The following is a 22,869-nucleotide window of genomic DNA, read 5'->3' on the forward strand; positions in this document are numbered from 1 at the left end:
ATATGGAATCCCCTACCATTTTAGGGAGTTTGTTATTCTGGGGAAAACTGTCCCCCCACTCCGCCAACCTCCTGCCAAAAGATAAAAAAATAAAAAATAAAAATAAAAATAAAAAACCTTCAAATGCTTTGTGTTGTGAGAAAGGCTCATTTAGGCTATAATACAGCCTGGTACTTTGAACGCTTTTTTTTTTTTTTTTTTTTTTTTTTTTGAGACGGAGTCTCGCTCTGTCACCCAGGCCGGACTGCGGACTGCAGTGGCGCAATCTCGGCTCACTGCAAGCTCCGCTTCCCGGGTTCACGCCATTCTCCTGCCTCAGCCTCCCGAGTAGCTGGGACTACAGGCGCCCGCCACCGCGCCCGGCTAATTTTTTGTATTTTTTAGTAGAGACGGGGTTTCACCTTGTTAGCCAGGATGGTCTCGATCTCCTGACCTCATGATCCACCCGCCTCGGCCTCCCAAAGTGCTGGGATTACAGGCGTGAGCCACCGCGCCCGGCCGGTACTTTGAACGCTTTACCTGGGGTTCTGGAGTTCCATTAAAGAGGAAGACAGTCATGTATGTAACCACAGCCAGCAAAAGCCAGCACAGGAATGCTGCACTGCTCTCTTTAATCTTCTGTTTCTTTGCTTTAAGAACATATTCTTGATTTAATTTTAGGTGAGTTCCCTGTTAGCTTCACACACATCTCAGGGGGTGTCTATAGATTCTGAAAATCCTCATACCCACAAGCAAAAGAGCTCAAAGAACACTACTTTGTATAACCAACATCTTTCCCTCAGAACTCAACACCTTAAATACCACAACCCTAACTCTTTTGTGTCCATAAAACATTATCAACAAAGCAACAGTGATTGTTAGTAACCATAATGGGGGGAAGCAGGGAGGAGAGAAGGGAAATTGCTTTTTTGCTTCAGAAATAAATTCTGAAGGAAAGTGAATGTAAGAATCTGAACACCTAAAGCTACAAAAAGCAACTGAGAAGACTTAATTCTATAGGCCACGATGGTTTTTCTCTTCCTCAGGTACTAAAAGGAGTTCCTATACCAGAGCTCACCATGTATCCTTTCAAGACGGAATTCATAATATTTGGGCCCTTTTTGTTAAAAAGTTTTTATTTACTTTTAAATAAAAGTGTTTTCTTATTTTAAAAAAATGGACAATGGTAACATACCAGAGCCAGATCCAGAGGCGGTCACATCATAAATCAGATCTTTCAGAGTTTTTCCAGCATTTACCAGATTGCACTCAGAGAGTGGTTCCTCCACATTTGGTCTCTTTTTCTTCCTGTAGGAGCACTGTCGACCCTGGCATGCCCATACTGTCAGCATCGCAGCTATGGACAGGAGGCAAACAGGCACAGTAATAATGATGGCCAGCTCCATGGGTCCAAGTTTTGGGGCATTTGGTGATGCTACAGTTTAAAGAAGAAAGAACATGACCATAAATCAAACCATTTTAAGTATTTTTGGAATTGGAATTGCAATCACCAAAATTTCACATCCAGAATATTCAGCTACACAGTATGCACTTATGTTCATTGGTAAAGGCTCTCTGTGGTATAAGCAAAGATGGAGAAAAAAAATGAGATTAGGCTGCAGCTAGGAATGGTTATGGCAGATGACAATAAGAAATATGATTAGGATAATGGAAACTAGCACATGGGATCTGTTTTAGGATCTCTGAAGCATTTCACTCTTTTCTGTCTACTATTTTCCCTCCATTATTCAGCAGTACACTTTTTTTTTTTTTTTTTTTTTTTTGAGATGGAGTCTCACTCGATCACCCAGGCTGGAGTGCAGTGGTGCGATCTGGGCTCACTGTAACCTCCACCTCCTAGGTTCAAGCCATTCTCCTGCCTCAGCCTCCTGAGTAGCTGAGATTACAGGTGCCCACCACCATGCCCAGCTAATTTTTCTATTTTTATAGAGACAGGGTTTCACCATGTTGGCCAGGCTGGTCTCAAACCCCTGACCTCAGGTGATCCACCCACCTCAGCCTCCCAAAGTGCTGGGATTACAGGCGTGAGCCACCATGCCTGGCCACAGCAGTCCTCTTTTAAAGCATGTACATTCATTCTTTCATGCCAAAATAATTATTGGGCTCTTGCAATGTGTTGCTGCTATTCCAGGTACTGGAGATACAATGGTGAGGAAAGAGCCCAAATTCCTGTTCTTGAGTCATATATGTTCTCATTCATCTACTAAACAGATGTTTAACACAAAAGCAAGAAAGAATGGTGCTACAAAAAAAAAAAAGCAGGGAAGAAAGAAGGAGTGATGGTGGGATGAAAAGGATTAAGGAAAGGACTGTGAATTTTATTCTAAAAAGTTGTTTCAGGGTTTTGGTAGGTGAGAGACACGATCTAACTTTTATTCTGAGTGGCCGCTGTGTGAATAGACACTAGAGAAGCAAGAATAAAAGTGAATAGGCCAATTAGAAACCTAATGCAAGAAGACAGTTGGGAGACCGTGGTGTTGGCTGACAACCTTACCTAAAATAGCACTTATTTCCCATTCCCTGTACACTCTCAAGACCCTTGTCCTGCTTGATTTTAATTCCTAGCTCTGATCACCACCTGACACATCATATACTCATTTATTGATTACCCAATTCCCTCCAGAGGACATAAGCTTCGGGAGAGGAAGAAGTTTGCCTGCTTTGTTCCCAGCCATATGTCCAGTGTTTACAATGATGCCTGACACATAGTAGATGATCAGTAAATAGTTCTCAAATGACAGAATCACTAAAAGTTCTACTAGTGGTATTCCTATAAGAGACAAGACTTTTCATTTTAGAAAAATAAATGTGATCATTGAAACCAAGTAACATAAGGATATAATTAAATTTGTGATTCTAATTTTAAAAACACATGAAGCCAATTTTTTTGCTTAAACTTCATCTTGCATTTAAGAAATCTTTTTTTAATTTAGAAAAAAAGTGATACATGAAAAATCTATGATGACAGATAATTTCCTGTGTTTTTCAAAGAAGTTATTTTGACACTTGAAACTGACACATTGTTCATTTCCTTTTCGTTGACTAAAGATAGCCTCTGCATCAATCCCATTTCATCCCCTTGTCCTACTACTGTGGTGTTGATTTTTGTTTTTAATAAATCTTAGAGCATATTTGATAGACTATGGGAGCAGAGTCTCCTAGAGGAGACTTAGGTTCTCAAAACATCAAGGAGAAGGAGAGGAATCCAGGTTCTAGAGAGAGAGAAACCACTTCCACCTGTGGGCTACCATCTTCTTGCTGTGAACCTTTGGCAAACTGCCTCCCCAGATGATTCTTCACAGGACAGAGAAAGAATGGGAGACTATGCTTGGAAAGCAATAGCTTGACACCAGCACCTTAGCATCTAAACAAATTGCAATGATAACGGGCCTTGATAGTTTCGCCATTCTCCAGATGTCCTCTTTGCACTGACAATGCTAAAGAGCTTAATATCTTAGACGTTCTTGCACTTTACCTACAATGTGTCAAAAAATACATGACTATCATTTGAAAACAAATATTATTTAATTCTGAAGGAAAAAGAATCAAATTCCTCACAAATGTGTTCATAGAAATTTCACTATAATGCCAAAGATAGTAGTTTATCTATTATCAGTAAGTAAAAGATTTAAAATTGTTAAGTGAACTTCAGAAACAATCATAATCTGTGCTGTTCTGCTACTTTGCCTGATGAATTTTAACTGATTACCAACTTTTCTTCCCCTGAGTGTTTCGGAATTCCTCTGAAATCATTAGTAGTTATACAGGTGCATATGAGGAGAAATTGGTCTAGAGTGTTCTTAGAATAGGTACTAAAAGAATTATCTGACTTGACTTTGCTTTAGTAATCATTAGCCATGGTACTTCCAACTTCTGAAGTTTGCTGTTATAAAATGATTTTATTGTGTATTTCACAATGATCTTTCAAACTGTCTCCATATTTTTATGTCTGCACAAAGGTATTCTAGTTTTTCTAAAAAAGCCACAGAATGCATTTAATCTCCTGCATCTTACATAAACATCTATTTAAAATGTGTTTTTAAATACACAATTCCACTACTGAATACATTTACATGACTAAATTTTATTTTGATACGTGTTATTGGGAACCATCAATATAAACATTAGCATTAACAAGCTTATTGATCGTCATCATTTTTGTAAAGCTCTATTAGGCAGAGCTCAGATCATCACTATAGCAACTAATAAAAAAGCAAAAGGTCAGCAACCCTAAAAATAGAATAATCTCCATAAAAGTGCACTGCTCTAGTGATGGCTATGGCTCTCAGAGATGTTTATTATAGATGAACAATGTTTCTACTTTTGTGAACAAATTTACCGATATGAGTCAGTAAGGAAAAAAGATTACTCAGCTAGAAAAAGTCTAGCAACACCATTCAGTAAGAACTCCTTAAACACTGAGGAATTTTAAAAGCAAACATTTGTAAAACTATGCTTTAAACCTAATGCTGATGATAATCCCTAGGGGGGATAAATGAAAAAAAAAACTGTAGTCTACATCCAGCGAATCAGGGTACAAGAAAACAATCATGCAGCTAAGAATACGTTTCAATAATCATTAACTTTGATGAACATATTAATTTTTCTAGCAGGTTTTAAATTCTTGATCACAGGAAAGCTCTTATTATTTGATGCTTTGCAATTTAGGGGATTTTCTGTGCCAAGTGAGATGCATTCTCCATGGAATTAGCAGCTCCATGGGGGGACACGTTAAATCCCAAAAGTGAGGTGGGAGGAGTGCTGCATTGTTAATTCAAGTGATTTCACTCCTTAGAAAATTAGATTGAAGAGGATGGGGAAAATGAGAGAAAAGCACTAACCCATAAAGGTGAGGGCCTGGCTGACGAATATTTCCCCAAATAAGCCCTACAATATGTTAAACTGAGAAAATGCAAGGGAAGGAATTATTAACAAGACAGCAGGAAGAAAAGGGGGAAGGGAGAGAAGGAGAGAGGGAAGGAAGGAAAGAGGAAGGAAGAAGGAAGGAAAAAGGAAAGAGAGAGAGAAGCAAGGAGGCAGGGAGGGAAGGAAGAAAAGGAGGGAGGGAGGGAGGAAACGAAGGAAGGAAGGAAGGAAATTTTAATTTATCTTTGTGAGTTTTGCAACTCTCCCTGGAGACCTGCGTGGACCTGGTGATTGTGAAAGTCACTGGTGGTTGCCACTGCCCAAGTGAAGACTTAGTTTAAATGCATCAGCTTCTCCCAGAACAGTTTACTATTCCCATTACCTCCTCACTACTTCCTATTTCTTGCTTTAAGGAGAGCCTCAAGATGAAAAGAAAAAGATAAGACAATGTAGGCATGATCCCCACATTTCCTTCTCTGCTCCTTCTTTATTGAAGGTATGAAAAAATATTGATGTTTATGAGATTTACATGACCTTCAAATTAATTAATTTACATTTCTTTAGCATATGCTATAAGAAGGAGATGGCTATGTGAACCTGAGAAAGTCAATCCCTCAAGATGAATCCTGAGTGGTAAACGGGGCCTAAATTTAAAACGGAACCAAGTGGCCATTTGCTGACTAGAGGTTACGCACATACTCTGAGTTCCCAGAAAAGCCATACAACTGCTTAACTTTGAAACTTTCATAATTAACTGTTCTTGCCCATGTTACCTGAATCAACCAATAGGCTGTGGCCTGCATCAACCAATCAGAACTCAGCTGCATCAACCAATCTGAACTAAGCAAGTTCTAATCTTTCATTTTTCATAGGAGGACCTGACTGAAAACCTAAATGGGAACTTTCTCTATAAAAGCCAGACAAACCCTGCCTTTGTTCTCTGAAATGCACCTTCAGTTTAAGCTGAGGGCTATTTCTCCCCAGTTTGCAAACTGTTTACTAGAATAAAATATCTTTCCTCTAAATTACTTCTCAGAACTTTTGCTCACACTTAGAAGTGGAGGTACGTACTTGATCAATTGCTTCAAATAATTCATATGGACTACTGGCATGGAAATCTTCTGGTATAATATCTACATTTCAAATTACAGACACATTCCCCACTATATTAAAATGGTAATCAGCTGACTAAAAACCAAGGCATTACAATGGAGTGACATATTAGAAACCCTCTGAGAATAGAGGGAGTGAAGAGATATGTGCTGCTGGAAAATTGTTTAGAAACAAACAAACAAAGAAAAAACAGAGACCTTCATCCAAACAAAGTCCATTCTTGTAAAACCTTTCAAGGTTAGTGCTTCCATCCCAAAAGTCACTGTCATTTTGCATTAAAACCAATCCCCCTCCTTTTATTAATAGTTTTTCCCAAGTAAAAAGATAACATTTTGCAAGGTCAATTTCATGGAGGTATAACTATTAATATCAAGTCTTCAACTGCTTTCTCACTCTACTTCACGCATAAAAAAGAAAGCATTTCTTTCTCCAGCTTGTGACTTTGAAATGTTCTCAGGTAACACACCAACCAAAAGGGAATATTGCTGGAGATGCCTTTTGATGGGTCTGTTTCTATCCTGGCACCTGGGAGAAATTCCACCACTGTCAACTGAATGACGTGATGATGTTCTGTCCATCCATCCCTATAAACCTATGACACACTCCTGTGAATTCAATTAAAGAGTCTTTATTTACTTCACAGGTTTCTGGGGGAAAATAAGTGGAAATAATATGTACAGCTGAAATAGAAGAGAGAACACACTACCACTACAACATTCAAAGCTAGCTCGTTTATTAGTTCAATAGGAATAATTGCTTTTTGTAAAAAACAGAGTGACATGTTAAGCAATGAGAAATCTCCCAAATCATCATGATGAACCTCCCTTAACCTGCCACTTCACAGCATCCTAAAATGTGGGTACCATTATTTCCAATATTTGCTAGATGTTAATGAGAACACATTTCTAACTGGTTTCTTGATGCTTTACTAAGTTGGTTCAAAGATTAGCTCCAAATGGATTGCTTTGTATGCATTGACTGAGAAAAACTCTCCAGAGGAAATGCCAGAAAAGCAGGGCAGAGTCCACAACCTTGTGGAATTTAAGATCTACTATGTAATATGTGACCCATCTAGAGAACAATTCCCAAGCAACTTCACAAGTGAAAATATGGAGAAGGCTGGGTGCGGTGGCTCACGCCTGTAATCCTGGCACTTTGGGAGGCCGAGGTGGGCGGATCATGAGGTAAAGAGATCAATACCATCTTGGCCAACATAGTGAAACCCTGTCTCTACGAAAAATACAAAAAATTAGCCGGGCATGGTGGCGCGTGCCTCTAGTCAAGCTACTTGGGAGGCTGAGGTAGAAGAATCGCTTGAACCCAGTAGGTAGAGGTGGCAGTGAGCTGAAATCGCGCCACTGCACTGCAGCCTAATGACAGAGCAAGACACCGTCTCAAAAAAAAAAAAATATATATATATATAAAATATATACATATATTATATGGAAAACTTTAAGATTGGGTGAGGAGGCCCAAGACTAAACCAGGAAGAAGCTGAATCCCTGAATAGACCAATAACAAGTTGTGAAATTGAGGCAGTAATACACAGCCTACCAACCAAAAAAATAAAATAAAATAAAATAAAATAAAATAAAATAAAATAAAATAAAATAAAATAAAATAAAAAAGCCCAGGACCAGACGTACAGAGAGGAGCTGGTACCATTCCTTCTGAAACTATTCCAAACAATTGAAAAGGAGGGACTCCTCCCTAACTCATTTTATGAGGGCAGCATCATCCTGATACCAAAACCTGGCAGAGACACAACAAAAAAAGAAAACTTCAGGCCAATATCCCTGATGAACATCAATGCAAAAATCCTCAATAAAATACTGCTAAGCAAACCGGTAGCACATCAAAAAGTTTAACCATCACGATCAAGTCGGCTTCATCCCTGGGATGCAAGGCTGGTTCAACATACGCAAATCAATAAATGTAATCCATCACATAAACAAAACCAATGACAAAAACCACATGATTATCTCAATAGAAGCAGAAAAGGCCTTCTATAACATCCAACATCCCTTGATATTAAAAACCCTCAATAAAGTAGGTATACATGGAACATATGTTAAAATAATAATAGCTATTTATGACAACCCCACAGCCAATATCATACTGAATGGGCAAAAGCTGAAAGCATTCCCTTTGAAAACCAGCACAAAACAAGGATGCTCTCTCTCACCAGTCTTATTGAACATAGTATTGGAAGTTCTGGCCAGGGCAATCAGGCAACAGAAGGAAATAAAGCGTATTCAAATAGGAAGAGAGGAAGTCAAATTGTCTGTTTGCAGATAACATAATTCTATATTTAGAAAACCCCATCACCTCAGCCCAAAAACTCTTTAAGCTAATAAACAACCTCAGCAAAGTCTCAGGATACAAAATCAATGTGCAAAAATCACAAGCATTCTTACATGCCAACAATAGACAAGCAGAGAGCCAAATTAAGAATACACTCCTATTCACAATTGCTACAGAGAGAATAAAATACCTAGGAATACAGCTAACAAGGAATGTGAAGGACCCTGAAGGAGAACTACAAACCACTGCTCAAGAAAATAAGAGAGGACACAAACGAATGTAAAAACATTTCATGCTCATGGATAGGAAGAATCAATATCGTGAAAATGGCCATGCTGCCTAAATTAATCTACAGATTCAATGCTATTCCCATCAAACTACCATTGACATTCTTCACAGAATTAGAAAAAACTACTTTAAATTTCATATGGAACCAAAAAAGAGCCTGTATAGCCAAGACAATCCTAAGTGAAAAGAACAAAGCTGGAGACATCATGCTACCTGACTTCAAACTATACTGCAAGGCTACAGTAACCAAAACAGCATGGTACTGGTACCAAAACAGACATATAGACCAATGGAACAGAACAGAGACATCAGAAATAACACTACACATCTACAACCATCTGATCTTTGACAAACCTGACAAAAACAAGCAATGGGGAAAAGATTCCCTATTTAATAATGGTACTGGGAGAACTGGCTAGCCATATGCAGAAAACTAAAACTGGATCCCTTCCTTACACATTATACAAAAATTAACTCAAGATGGATTAAAGGCTTAAATGTAAAACCAAAAACCATAAAAACCCTAGAGGAAAACCTAAGCAATACCATTCAGGACATAGGCATGGGCAAAGATTTCGTGATGAAAATGCCAACAGCAATTGCCACAAAAGCCAAAATTGACAAATAGGATCTAATTAAACTAAGAGCTTCTGCACAGCAAAAGAAACTATCATCAGAGTGAACAGGTAACCTACAGAACGGAAGAAAATTTTTGCAATCTACCCATTAGACAAAGGTCCAGTATCCAGAATCTACAAGGAACTTAAACAAGTTTACAAGAAAAAAATCCCATCAAAAAGTAGGCAAAGGATATGAACAGACACTTCTCAGAAGATGACATTTATGCAGGCAACAAGCATATGAAAAAGGCTCAACATCATTAATCATTAGGGAAATGTAAATCAAAACCACAATGAGATACCATCTCATGCCAGTCAGAATGGTGATTATGAAGTCAAGAAACAATAGATGCTGGCGAGACTGTGGAGAAATCGGAACACTTTTACACTATTGGTAGGAATGTAAATTAGCTCAACCACTGTAGAAGACGGTGTGGCAATTCCTCAAGGATCTAGAACCAGGAATACCATTTGACCCAGGCATCCCATTACTGGGTATATACCCAAAGGAATATAAACCATTCTACTCTAAAGACACATGCACACATATGTTTAATACAGCACTATTTACAATAGCAAAGACATGGCACCAACCCCAATGCCCATCAATGATAGACTGGATAAAGAAAATGTTGTACATCTACACCATGGGATACTATGCAGCCATAAGAAGGAATGAGATCATGTCCTTTGCAGGGACATGGATAAAGCTGGAGGCCATCATCCTCAGCAAACTAATACAGCAACAGAAAATCAAACACCACATATTCTCACTTATTAAGTGGGAGTTGAACAATGAGAACACATGGACACTGGGAGGGGAACACACACACACCGGGACCTGTCAGGGGGTGGAGGGTAATGGGAGGGAGAGCATTAGGACAAATAGCCAATGCATGCGGGGCTTAAAACCTAGATAATGGGTTGATAGGTGCAGCAAAGCACCATGGCACACGTATACCTATGTAACAAACCTGCCCGTTCTGTACATGTATCCCAGAATTTAAAGTAAAATTCTTTTAAAAATAAAAAAAAAGAGTGGGGGAGGAGGGAAATAAGAAAAAGATTATCACGAGATATTCCATTCATGATGAATCAGTCCAACATAAAAGAATACATAACTGCACTTTGATAGGAATTTGAAGTAGAATGGGCTAAGGAGCTAAGTCACAAACATCAACTTTTTTTGTCTAGTCCTCCCGTGTGAATCTGCACTTACTGGTTGCAGGCAGACACCCCCTCCACTCTCCCATCCTTGACTCCCTTCCCTTACAATGGTCACTTCTTCGTAGTGACCATTGTAAATTTCACCAAGAATCATCCAATTACAAGTTAATTCGCTTAGATCCCTCCAACATGCTCCATTTGCCATGCAGCAAATGGCCTCCCTTTTGCAAACAGCAAACATAATTATGTCAGAGGGGTTATCTGGGATCAATATGAACCTTATATACTGAATAAGGACAGAAGATTTTCTAATCCAGAGATCAAATCAAGCCATGATAGAGGCAGAAATAACATGACAATTATTTCTCCCTTTTAACTGAATCAAACGAGCTATTGATGGGCCATTCCACTGTTTGATGCTCAGTCTATAAACGGCTATTTGCATAAACGATCTTCATCTGGCCAGGTTTCATAATTTTATAGCTGACAGGGAGTGCCACACACAAAAATATTTCCTGGACATGTTCTCCTTGTGTTGCTGGTTTTCTGGGAGTAGATGATGAACATCAAGAGGCTGCAAATCTTCTTTTATCCATTAGCATTGGAATTTAAGAAGAATAACATTTTTACGCTTTAAAGAAACAAGAATCTTGGATTAAGGAATATAATCGCTGTCATAAAAAGTATAAAGAACTTTCACTCAAGCAGAGGTAAGCTTAATAAAATGTAAGCAGAATATAAATAAGTTCCATAATCAGTTTTCTTAATTTCAGGACACATACCTAGCAGAAATGATAGTCTCTTAATCTCTGTTATCAAAACACATATTCTCAAATAATGCATGTCTGTAAATAACTTAGATAGTAATTATTCAAGAAATATTTTAGAGTTCTTTTTTTCTTAAATCAACCCTTTACATAAAAAAAGAAAGTCTTTGGAAGCAGCACCCATATCTCAATCTCTCTGTTTCCCCAGCACATAGTACAGAGCTATATTCACAGAAGACACTTAAAATACTGATGACAAGGGCAAGTTATACTTCTCTGTCCTAAAGTCTATGCTAGCTAGTGGGAATGTGGAGCCAAGATGGCCGAATAGGAACAGCTCCGGTCTATAGCTCCCAGCGTGAGCGACGCAGAAGACGGGTGATTTCTGCATTTCCATCTGAGGTACCGGGTTCATCTCACTACGGAGTGCCAGACAGTGGGCGCAGGCCAGTGTGTGTGCCCACCGTGCGCGAGCCGAAGCAGGGCGAGGCATTGCCTCACCTGGGAAGCACAAGGGGTCAGGGAGTTCCCTTTCTGAGTCAAAGAAAGGGGTGATGGACGCACCTGGAAAATCGGGTCACTCCCACCCGAATATTGCGCTTTTCAGACCGGCTTAAGAAACGGCGCACCACGAGACTATATCCCACACCTGGCTCAGAGGGTCCTACGCCCAGGGAGTCTCGCTGATTGCTAGCACAGCAGTCTGAGATCAAACTGCAAGGCGGCAACGAGGCTGGGGGAGGGGCGCCCGCCATTGCCCAGGCTTGCTTAGGTAAACAAAGCAGCCGGGAAGGGAAGCTCGAACTGGGTGGAGCCCACCACAGCTCAAGGAGGCCTGCCTGCCTCTGTAGGCTCCACCTCTGGGGGCAGGGCACAGACAAACAAAAAGACAGCAGTAACCTCTGCAGACTTAAGTGTCCCTGTCTGACAGCTTTGAAGAGAGCAGTGGTTCTCCCAGCACGCAGCTGGAGATCTGAGAACGGGCAGACTGCCTCCTCAAGTGGGTCCCTGACCCCTGACCCCCGAGCAGCCTAACTGGGAGGCACCCCCCAGCAGGGGCACACTGACACCTCACACGGCAGGGTATTCCAACAGACCTGCAGCTGAGGGTCCTGTCTGTTAGAAGGAAAACTAACAACCAGAAAGGACATCTACACCGAAAACCCATCTGTACATCACCATCATCAAAGACCAAAAGTAGATAAAACCACAAAGTTGGGGAAAAAACAGAACAGAAAAACTGGAAACTCTAAAACACCGAGCACCTCTCCTCCTCCAAAGGAACGCAGTTCCTCACCAGCAACAGAACAAAGCTGGATGGAGAATGATTTTGACGAGCTGAGAGAAGAAGGCTTCAGATGATCAAATTACTCTGAGCTATGGGAGGACATTCAAACCAAAGGCAAAGAAGTTGAAAACTTTGAAAAAAATTTAGAAGAATGTATAACTAGAATAACCAATACAGAGAAGTGCTTAAAGGAGCTGATGGAGCTGAAAACCAAGGCTCGAGAACTACGTGAAGAATGCAGAAGCCTCAGGAGCCGATGCGATCAACTGGAAGAAAGGGTATCAGCAATGGAAGATGAAATGAATGAAATGAAGCGAGAAGGGAAGTTTAGAGAAAAAAGAATAAAAAGAAATGAGCAAAGCCTCCAAGAAATATGGGACTATGTGAAAAGACCAAATCTACGTCTGATTGGTGTACCTGAAAGTGATGTGGAGAATGGAACCAAGTTGGAAAACACTCTGCAGGATATTATCCAGGAGAACTTCCCCAATCTAGCAAGGCAGGCCAACGTTCAGATTCAGGAAATACAGAGAACGCCACAAAGATACTCCTCGAGAAGAGCAACTCCAAGACACATAATTGTCAGATTCACCAAAGTTGAAATGAAGGAAAAAATGTTAAGGGCAGCCAGAGAGAAAGGTCGGGTTACCCTCAAAGGAAAGCCCATCAGACTAACAGCGGATCTCTCGGCAGAAACCCTACAAGCCAGAAGAGAGTGGGGGCCAATATTCAACATTCTTAAAGAATTTTCAACCCAGAATTTCATATCCAGCCAAACTAAGCTTCATAAGTGAAGGAGAAATAAAATACTTTATAGACAAGCAAATGCTGAGAGATTTTGTCACCACCAGGCCTGCCCTAAAAGAGCTCCTGAAGGAAGCGCTAAACATGGAAAGGAACAACCGGTACCAGCCGCTGCAAAATCATGCCAAAATGTAAAGACCATTGAGACTAGGAAGAAACTGCATCAACTAATGAGCAAAATCACCAGCTAACATCATAATGACAGGATCAAATTCACACATAACAATATTAACTTTAAATATAAATGGACTAAATTCTGCAATTAAAAGACACAGACTGGCAAGTTGGATAAAGAGTCAAGACCCATCAGTGTGCTGTATTCAGGAAACCCATCTCACATGCAGAGACACACATAGGCTCAAAATAAAAGGATGGAGGAAGATCTACCAAGCCAATGGAAAACAAAAAAAGGCAGGGGTTGCAATCCTAGTCTCTGATAAAACAGACTTTAAACCAACAAAGATCAAAAGAGACAAAGAAGGCCATTACATAATGGTAAAGGGATCAATTCCACAAGAGGAGCTAACTATCCTAAATATTTATGCACCCAATACAGGAGCACCCAGATTCATAAAGCAAGTCCTCAGTGACCTACAAAGAGACTTAGACTCCCACACATTAATAATGGGAGACTTTAACACCCCACTGTCAACATTAGACAGATCAACGAGACAGAAAGTCAACAAGGATACCCAGGAATTGAACTCAGCTCTGCACCAAGCAGACCTAATAGACATCTACAGAACTCTCCACCCCAAATCAACAGAATATACATTTTTTTCAGCACCACACCACATCTATTCCAAAATTGACCACATAGTTGGAAGTAAAGCTCTCCTCAGCAAATGTAAAAGAACAGAAATTATAACAAACTATCTCTCAGACCACAGTGCAATCAAACTAGAACTCAGGATTAAGAATCTCACTCAAAGCCGCTCAACTACATGGAAACTGAACAACCTGCTCCTGAATGACTACTGGGTACATAACGAAATGAAGGCAGAAATAAAGATGTTCTTTGAAACCAACGAGAACAAAGACACAACATACCAGAATCTCTGGGACGCATTCAAAGCAGTGTGTAGAGGGAAATTTATAGCACTAAATGCCTACAAGAGAAAGCAGGAAAGATCCAAAATTGACACCCTAACATCACAATTAAAAGAACTAGAAAAGCAAGAGCAAACACATTGAAAAGCTAGCAGAAGGCAAGAAATAACTAAAATCAGAGCAGAACTGAAGGAAATAGAGACACAAAAAACCCTTCAAAAAATCAATGAATCCAGGAGCTGGTTTTTTGAAAGGATCAACAAAATTGATAGACCGCTAGCAAGACTAATAAAGAAAAAAAGAGAGAAGAATCAAATAGACACAATAGAAAATGATAAAGGGGATATCACCACCGATCCCACAGAAATACAAACTACCATCAGAGAATACTACAAACACCTCTACGCAAATAAACTAGAAAATCTAGAAGAAATGGATACATTCCTCGACACATACACTCTCCCAAGACTAAACCAGGAAGAAGTTGAATCTCTGAATAGACCAATAACAGGCTCTGAAATTGTGGCAATAATCAATAGTTTACCAACCAAAAAGAGTCCAGGACCAGATGGATTCACAGCCGAATTCCACCAGAGGTACAAGGAGGAACTGGTACCATTCCTTCTGAAACTATTCCAATCAATAGAAAAAGAGGGAATCCTCCCTAACTCATTTTATGAGGCCAGCATCATTCTGATACCAAAGCCGGGCAGAGACACAACCAAAAAAGAGAATTTTAGACCAATATCCTTGATGAACATTGATGCAAAAATCCTCAATAAAATACTGGCAAACCGAATCCAGCAGCACATCAAAAAGCTTATCCACCATGATCAAGTGGGCTTCATCCCTGGGATGCAAGGCTGGTTCAATATACGCAAATCAATAAATGTAATCCAGCATATAAACAGAGCCAAAGACAAAAACCACATGATTATCTCAATAGATGCAGAAAAAGCCTTTGACAAAATTCAACAACCCTTCATGCTAAAAACTCTCAATAAATTAGGTATTGATGGGACGTATTTCAAAATAATAAGAGCTATCTATGACAAACCCACAGCCAATATCATACTGAATGGGCAAAAACTGGAAGCATTCCCTTTGAAAACTGGCACAAGACAGGGATGCCCTCTCTCACCGCTCCTATTCAACATAGTGTTGGAAGTTCTGGCCAGGGCAATCAGGCAGGAGAAGGAAATAAAGGGTATTCAATTAGGAAAAGAGGAAGTCAAATTGTCCCCGTTTGCAGACGACATGATTGTATATCTAGAAAACCCCATCGTCTCAGCCCAAAATCTCCTTAAGCTGATAAGCAACTTCAGCAAAGTCTCAGGATACAAAATCAATGTACAAAAATCACAAGCATTCTTATACACCAACAACAGACAAACAGAGAGCCAAATCATGAGTAAACTCCCATTCACAATTGCTTCAAAGAGAATAAAATACCTAGGAATCCAACTTACAAGGGATGTGAAGGACCTCTTCAAGGAGAACTACAAACCACTGCTCAAGGAAATAAAAGAGGACACAAACAAATGGAAGAACATTCCACGCTCATGGGTAGGAAGAATCAATATCGTGAAAATGGCCATACTGCCCAAGGTAATTTACAGATTCAATGCCATCCCCATCAAGCTACCAATGCCTTTCTTCACAGAATTGGAAAAAACTACTTTAAAGTTCATATGGAACCAAAAAAGAGCCCGCATCGCCAAGTCAATCCTAAGCCAAAAGAACAAAGCTGGAGGCATCACACTACCTGACTTCAAACTATACTACAAGGCTACAGTAACCAAAACAGCATGGTACTGGTACCAAAACAGAGATATAGATCAATGGAACAGAACAGAGCCCTCAGAAATAATGCCGCATATCTACAACTATCTGATCTTTGACAAACCTGAGAAAAACAAGCAATGGGGAAAGGATTCCCTATTTAATAAATGGTGCTGGGAAAACTGGCTAGCCATATGTAGAAAGCTGAAACTGGATCCCTTCCTTACACCTTATACAAAAATCAATTCAAGATGGATTAAAGATTTAAACGTTAGACCTAAAACCATAAAAACCCTAGAAGAAAACCTAGGCATTACCATTGAGGACATAGGCATGGGCAAGGACTTCATGTCCAAAACACCAAAAGCAATGGCAACAAAAGACAAAATTGACAAATGGGATCTAATTAAACTAAAGAGCTTCTGCACAGCAAAAGAAACTACCATCAGAGTGAACAGGCAACCTACAACATGGGAGAAAATTTTCGCAACCTACTCATCTGACAAAGGGCTAATATCCAGAATCTACAATGAACTCAAACAAATTTACAAGAAAAAAACAAACAACCCCATCAAAAAGTGGGCGAAGGACATGAACAGACACTTCTCAAAAGAAGACATTTATGCAGCCAAAAAACACATGAAGAAATGCTCATCATCACTGGCCATCAGAGAAATGCAAATCAAAACCACTATGAGATATCATCTCACACCAGTTAGAATGGCAATCATTAAAAAGTCAGGAAACAACAGGTGCTGGAGAGGATGTGGAGAAATAGGAACACTTTTACACTGTTGGTGGGACTGTCAACTAGTTCAACCATTGTGGAAGTCAGTGTGGCGATTCCTCAGGGATCTAGAACTAGAAATACCATTTGACCCAGCCATCCCATTACTGGGTATATACCCAAAGGACTATAAATCATGCTGCTATAAAGACACATGCACACGTATGTTTATTGTGGCACTATTCACAATAGCAAAGACTTGGAACCAACCCAAATGTCCAACAATGATAGACTGGATTAAGAAAATGTGGCACATATACACCATGGAATACTATGCAGCCATAAAAAATGATGAGTTCATGTCCTTTGTAGGGACATGGATGAAATTGGAAACCATCATTCTCAGTAAACTATCGCAAGAACAAAAAACCAAACACCGCATATTCTCACTCATAGGTGGGAATTGAACAATGAGATCACATGGACACAGGAAAGGGAATATCACACTCTGGGGACTGTGGTGGGGTCGGGGGAGGGGGGAGGGATAGCATTGGGAGATATACCTAATGCTAGATGACATGTTAGTGGGTGCAGCGCACCAGCATGGCACATGTATACATATGTAACTAACCTGCACAATGTGCACATGTACCCCAAAACTTAGAGTATAATAAAAAAAAAAATTAAAAAAAAAAAAAAGTCTATGCTAGCATAACTTCTCCACAGCTAGTATATTCACACAAAGCAGCTTGCTCACTTGGAAAAAACTGATGTGAAATAATCACATTTTGACCTAGCTCACATATAGCTTACATATAGCTCAATGTCCTATACGTAATAATCACCTCAAAAATATTTGAGTAAAAATGTAATGGTATTTAAATAACTGAGAGAGTAAAACCTTATCTAATATGGAATCCTCAATTTAGAATTGGCTGTAAACTTTGCTTTCAATTTCCTATTACATCTCTATGAACAAAATTTCATAATGTAAATCAGTGTACTTGTTTCTGGAGACAAGAAATGCCTCCTATATTAAACTTTAAAACACAAGTCTGACTTTTAGATGCTTATATTTCAGAGCACTTTCCAAACAATAAAAATCATAGCACCTTTCATTTTAGGGGGGAAAAAAGCCTGTCTGGCACACCTGTCAGGTGTGCCCTGTGTCCCCAGAGAGTGAGCTATAAATGGATTTGTTCGTGTGATGGCAGAACAATTCCACAAGGGGTCCAGTGAGTATTTCTCAGCATGCACATGTCACCTTTTCCTGACTAGAGCAATGAATTTATGTCTCAAATAGAAAACCAGAAGAAAGTTAAGAAACAACAATGGGTCTTTTAAGAGGAACGAAAATAGCAAGACTTTTAAACTCCCAAAAGAATAACAATCACTTTCTGAGTCTGCAATTCTTGTAATTACAGTTTGCTTTAAAATTATTAGTTTTTGATAAATTCGATTTTAATGTTTTGGCAGTTTATCTTCTTTCAAATGCAAACCTTTGGTTTGGTTTAAAAAGTCTAATTTAGACATGTGCCTAATCAATATGTATTATACACCTACCACAATTGATTAAATTATCAATTTTCCTTTTCCTCTTTACGCAATTCAGAACAGAACAGGAAGGCAGAAATTGTATTGAAGTTAATAAAGCACCCACATTTTAATGTTTTGTCATATTTTCTTTATTAAAGTAATTATCTGAATTAGTGAAAAATATAATGGCATTATTAAAATAGTATATTGAAATCTGGAGGGAAAAATCAGAAATTATTACTACACTTACCCTTTTAAGCACTGTATGTTTTGGTAGCAAAATGGGAACAAAGATACCTGAAATTTGAAGGGTTTTTTTTTTTCTGTTGAATAGTCTATTTCCATATGAAGGGCTGTAATTAGTGCAAGCATGAACTAAGTAGCAATTCTTATCAAAATTAACCCTAAAAAGTTCCAGTTTCTCTAGCCCAGGCTTCCTGATCTTATTCTGGATGAATTTTCATGGACAATATTAAGGTGCTCTTGGTGCTATTTGACATCATCATTATTTCTCTGAGCATGACTCTGCTATCACCCAGAGTCTACAGAAATCAATTCTGTCACAAACCAAAATACAACCCAGCCATAAAGGAACCAAGCAACAAAATGGGATTCCTTCACATAGGAAAAAAATACTTGTCTAATATTAAGGAAGTAAGATACAAAATTGTATTAAACAGAACAATTCAACTATGCTAAAATATAACTAAACTATTGATAGTGGGAACTCTAGGCCAGTGGATATAAGCACAATACATCATGAATGAATGAAATAAATAAGAAAAGCCCATGCCCGACACAGAAGAGTCAGTCACTATTCAGCTTCGGCCAACTGATAGCATGAGACTTCAAGGATGTCATATCTTCTGAATTTTCAAGACCAGACAGGAATCTGGATTTTTATATTAAGACTTTATCTTCATCCATTCTGTAAAACAGCATACACTGGGTAACTTATAAAGAACAGAAATTTATTTCTCATAGTTCTGGAGGCTAGGAAGTCTAAGATCAACATGCCAGCAGATTCTATGTTTGGTGAAGGGCTGCTTTCTGGTTCATAGAAGGCACCTTCTCCCTGTGTCCTCTTATGGTGGAGGGAGCAAAGGAGCTCCCTTGGACCCATTTTATGAGGGCACTAGTCTCATTCATGAGGGCTCCACCCTCCTGACCTAATCAAGTCAAAAGACTGCTACCTTCCAGTACTATCACCTTAGAGGTTAGAATTTCAACATATGAACTTAGGGGGAACATATTTAGACCATAGCAGACTCTTAATGTTTAACATTGTAAACAAATTCATTTTTCTTTCCCAGAAACTGTGTAGATCAAATAAAACCTGTCTACGGGCCTATCTCATAGACAGGTTTTATTTGATCCACAAACATGAATTCTACCTTCTATGGGCAGGTAGACTTGCTTTGCTGCCTCTCTGGATGACTTGCTTTGCTGCTTTTACGTTAATTAGAATTGGGTTTAACTACAAATAACAAAGGAAACCAAATAAATCAATTGTTTTTCTCCCTCATGGGAAAGAGATCTGAAGATGGGTAGTCCAATAGTAGCAGGATGGCTTCATAAAGTTTTCAGTCAGGCCCCTGTCAGCTCCCTTGTTGCTGTCCTACAGTGAAACCATCATCCTCATGATCCAAGGCAGCTGCTATAACTCCAACCTTTGCATCCAGGCAGCATGATGATGGAGGTATACTCATGTGCCAATTCTGTTTTGTATTTTTTATTTAATTTTTTTAAGAGACAGGGTCTTGCTCTATCACCCAGGCTAGAGTATATTGGTGCAATCATAGCTCACTGCAGCCTTGGCCTTCTGGGCTTGAAGGATCCTCCTGCCTCAGCCTCCCAAGTAGCTGGGACTACAAGTGTGCACCACCATACCCGGCAAGTTCTTTTTTTTTTTTTTTTGACGGAGTTTTGCTTTTGTCACCTAGGCTGGATAGCAATGGTGCGATCTCGCCTTACTACAACCTCCGCCTCCCGGGTTCAAGCGATTCTCCTGTCTCAGCCTCCTGAGTGAGTAGCTGGGATTACAGGCATGTGCCACCATGCCCAGCTAATTTTTGTATTTTTAGTAGATACAGGGTTTCACCATGTTGGCCAGGCTGGTCTCGAACTCCTGACCTCAGGTGATCCACCCACCTTGGCCTCCCAAAGTGCTGGGATTACAGGCTTCAGCCACTGCGCCCAGCCTAATTCCTTTATTTTTTGTAGAGATGCAATTTCACCACCTGGCCAAGGCTGGTCTTGAACTCCTAGGCTAAACAGATCCCCCTGCCTGGGCTTCCCAAAGTGCTAGGATTACAGGTGTGAACCATTATGCCTGGCCAACAGTGCTGTTTTAATGAGTCTTCTCCAAAGTCCTCCAAACACTGCCATTTATCTAATTAGCCAGAACTCAGTTATATTACCACATTTAGCTGCAAGAGTAGCTGCAAATATTATCTGTTAGGTAGACAGCCACATAACCAGCTAAAAAGTCTAAGTTCTCCCGTGAAATGGGTATGGAAGAAAACCAGATGTCTTTGATACACTTATTTGTAGTCATATTAACTTTTGACTCATTACGGTTTTTTTAATTAGAAAAAGAATATATGTGCAAAAAAACAAGTCAGACACTATACAAATTGACAAGGGAAGAGTTAAAGAATGTCCTCTGCCTGTCAGCTGTCTCCAATACCTACTCCAGATATTAACAGAATGTGTGAACTTCCACAGATTTACCTACACTCACACATTACTTTGAAACTTGATGTTTTATTCTTCTTTTGTTGTGAAATATAATGAATATACAGAAAATTATGTACAATATATAGGTAGAAGATAACAAATAATTATAAATGTCCATGTAAATCCCCTCTCTGCTCAACATTGGCACCCCCATTCTGAGAAATCCCCACATGATCACAACCTTATCCCTTCCCCCAAGGCAACCATTATTGTGGCTTGAGGAATAATCATTTCTTTTTTTTTTTTTTTTTTTTGGCGACGGAGTCTCACTCTGTCACCACGCTGGAGTGCAATGGCGCAATCTCAGCTCACTGCAACCTCCACCTCCCGGGTTCAAGCAATTCTCCTGCCTCAGCCTCCTGAGTAGCTGGGACTGCAGGCATGAGCCACCATGCCCCGCTAATTTTTGTATTTTTAGTACAGACAGGATTTCACCATGTTGGCCAGGCTGGTCTCAATCTCTTGACCTTGGATTCCGCCTGCCTCAGCCTCCCAAAGTGCTGGGATTACAGGCATGAGCCAATGTGCCCAGCCTGGAATAATCATTTCTTTGCCTTAAAAAAATAAGTCTATCATTGTGCTTGATCATTTTCTTGTCAACTTGGGTAAACTTGAACTATGGCTCCCAGAGTATCATTTCCTATATGGTTCCAGGTCAAAGTTAGGATGCTTGCACATATGTTCATGAATGAGAATGGCTTGTACTTTTCCTTTTCTATACTGTTTTTGTTTGGTTTTGATATCAAATTTATGCATAAAATGAGATTCCTCCTTGTCTACACTTTGGAAGAGTTTGTGTAAGAATTACCTGTTCCTGGAAGTTTAGCACAATTTTCTGGTAGAGCCTTTTGGGCTTTGAAATTTTCTTTTTTTTTTTTTTTTTTTTTTTTTTTTTTGAGACGGAGTCTCGCTCTGTCGCCCAGGCCGGACTGCGGACTGCAGTGGCACAATCTCGGCTCACTGCAAGCTCCGCTTCCCGGGTTCACGCCATTCTCCTGCCTCAGCCTCCCCAGTAGCTGGGACTACAGGCGCCCGCCACCGCGCCCGGCTAATTTTTTGTATTTTTTAGTAGAGACGGGGTTTCACCTTGTTAGCCAGGATGGTCTCGATCTCCTGACCTCATGATCCACCCGCCTCGGCCTCCCAAAGTGCTGGGATTACAGGCGTGAGCCACCGCGCCCGGCCTGAAATTTTCTTAATGAGAATATATTTTTACTGCCCATTTTATAACTGATTCAAGTTCTTTAATATCGCAAGACTATTCAGGTTCAGTAAATTATAATTTTCTAAAAAGTAGGTTGTTCATAAATCATGTTGTTTCAACCCTGTATATTCTCCTAATTTAAAAAAATCTACTGTAATATCAATTACCAAGACAGTGGTATGCTGAAATCTCCCTCCGAGATTGTGGACTTCTCTATTTATCCTTATAGATCTGTAAATATTTTCTTTATTTTTGAGACTTCATTCTTAAGTACATACAAATTTAGATTTCTTTAAAAATCCCTGGTAAACTGAAACTTGAGATGTTAAAAAGTGATATTTTTAAACTCTGGTAATTTTTTTGCATTAAATTCTGTTTTGTCTTCTATTAATTTAAGTAAACTAACACTTTTGTTTGTTTAATATATGTATGATATATATTTACCATCACAATAATTTCAACATTTCTGTAGACCTTTATTTTAGATACATATTTTAAACATTTAATTGAATTTGTTTTCTACACTCTGATAATCATTGTTTTTTAACTGGAATGCTGAGTCTATCTACATTAAATTATTTACATTTAATTATTACTGATATATTTGGGTGCTT

At 39.4% G+C, this 22,869-nt stretch overlaps 1 protein-coding gene across 4 annotated transcripts in view; it reads right to left on the minus strand.

Moving 5' to 3' along the window:
- The window catches only part of ACVR1C (activin A receptor type 1C), a 102,098-nt gene that overhangs the window by 28,152 nt on the left and 51,077 nt on the right, over nucleotides 1–22,869 (minus strand). For 2 of the 4 annotated variants that reach the window (NM_145259.3, NM_001111031.2), the window contains exon 3: nucleotides 1,175–1,414. The exons of the other annotated variants lie outside the window; for them this stretch is intronic. In NM_145259.3, coding sequence (NP_660302.2) covers nucleotides 1,175–1,414 — 240 coding nt within the window. The remainder of the gene's footprint in view (nucleotides 1–1,174; nucleotides 1,415–22,869) is intronic. 4 annotated transcript variants of the gene reach the window in all.

This window comes from Homo sapiens, chromosome 2, assembly GCF_000001405.40.
Source record: "Homo sapiens chromosome 2, GRCh38.p14 Primary Assembly".
Taxonomy (NCBI): Eukaryota; Metazoa; Chordata; class Mammalia; order Primates; family Hominidae; genus Homo; species Homo sapiens.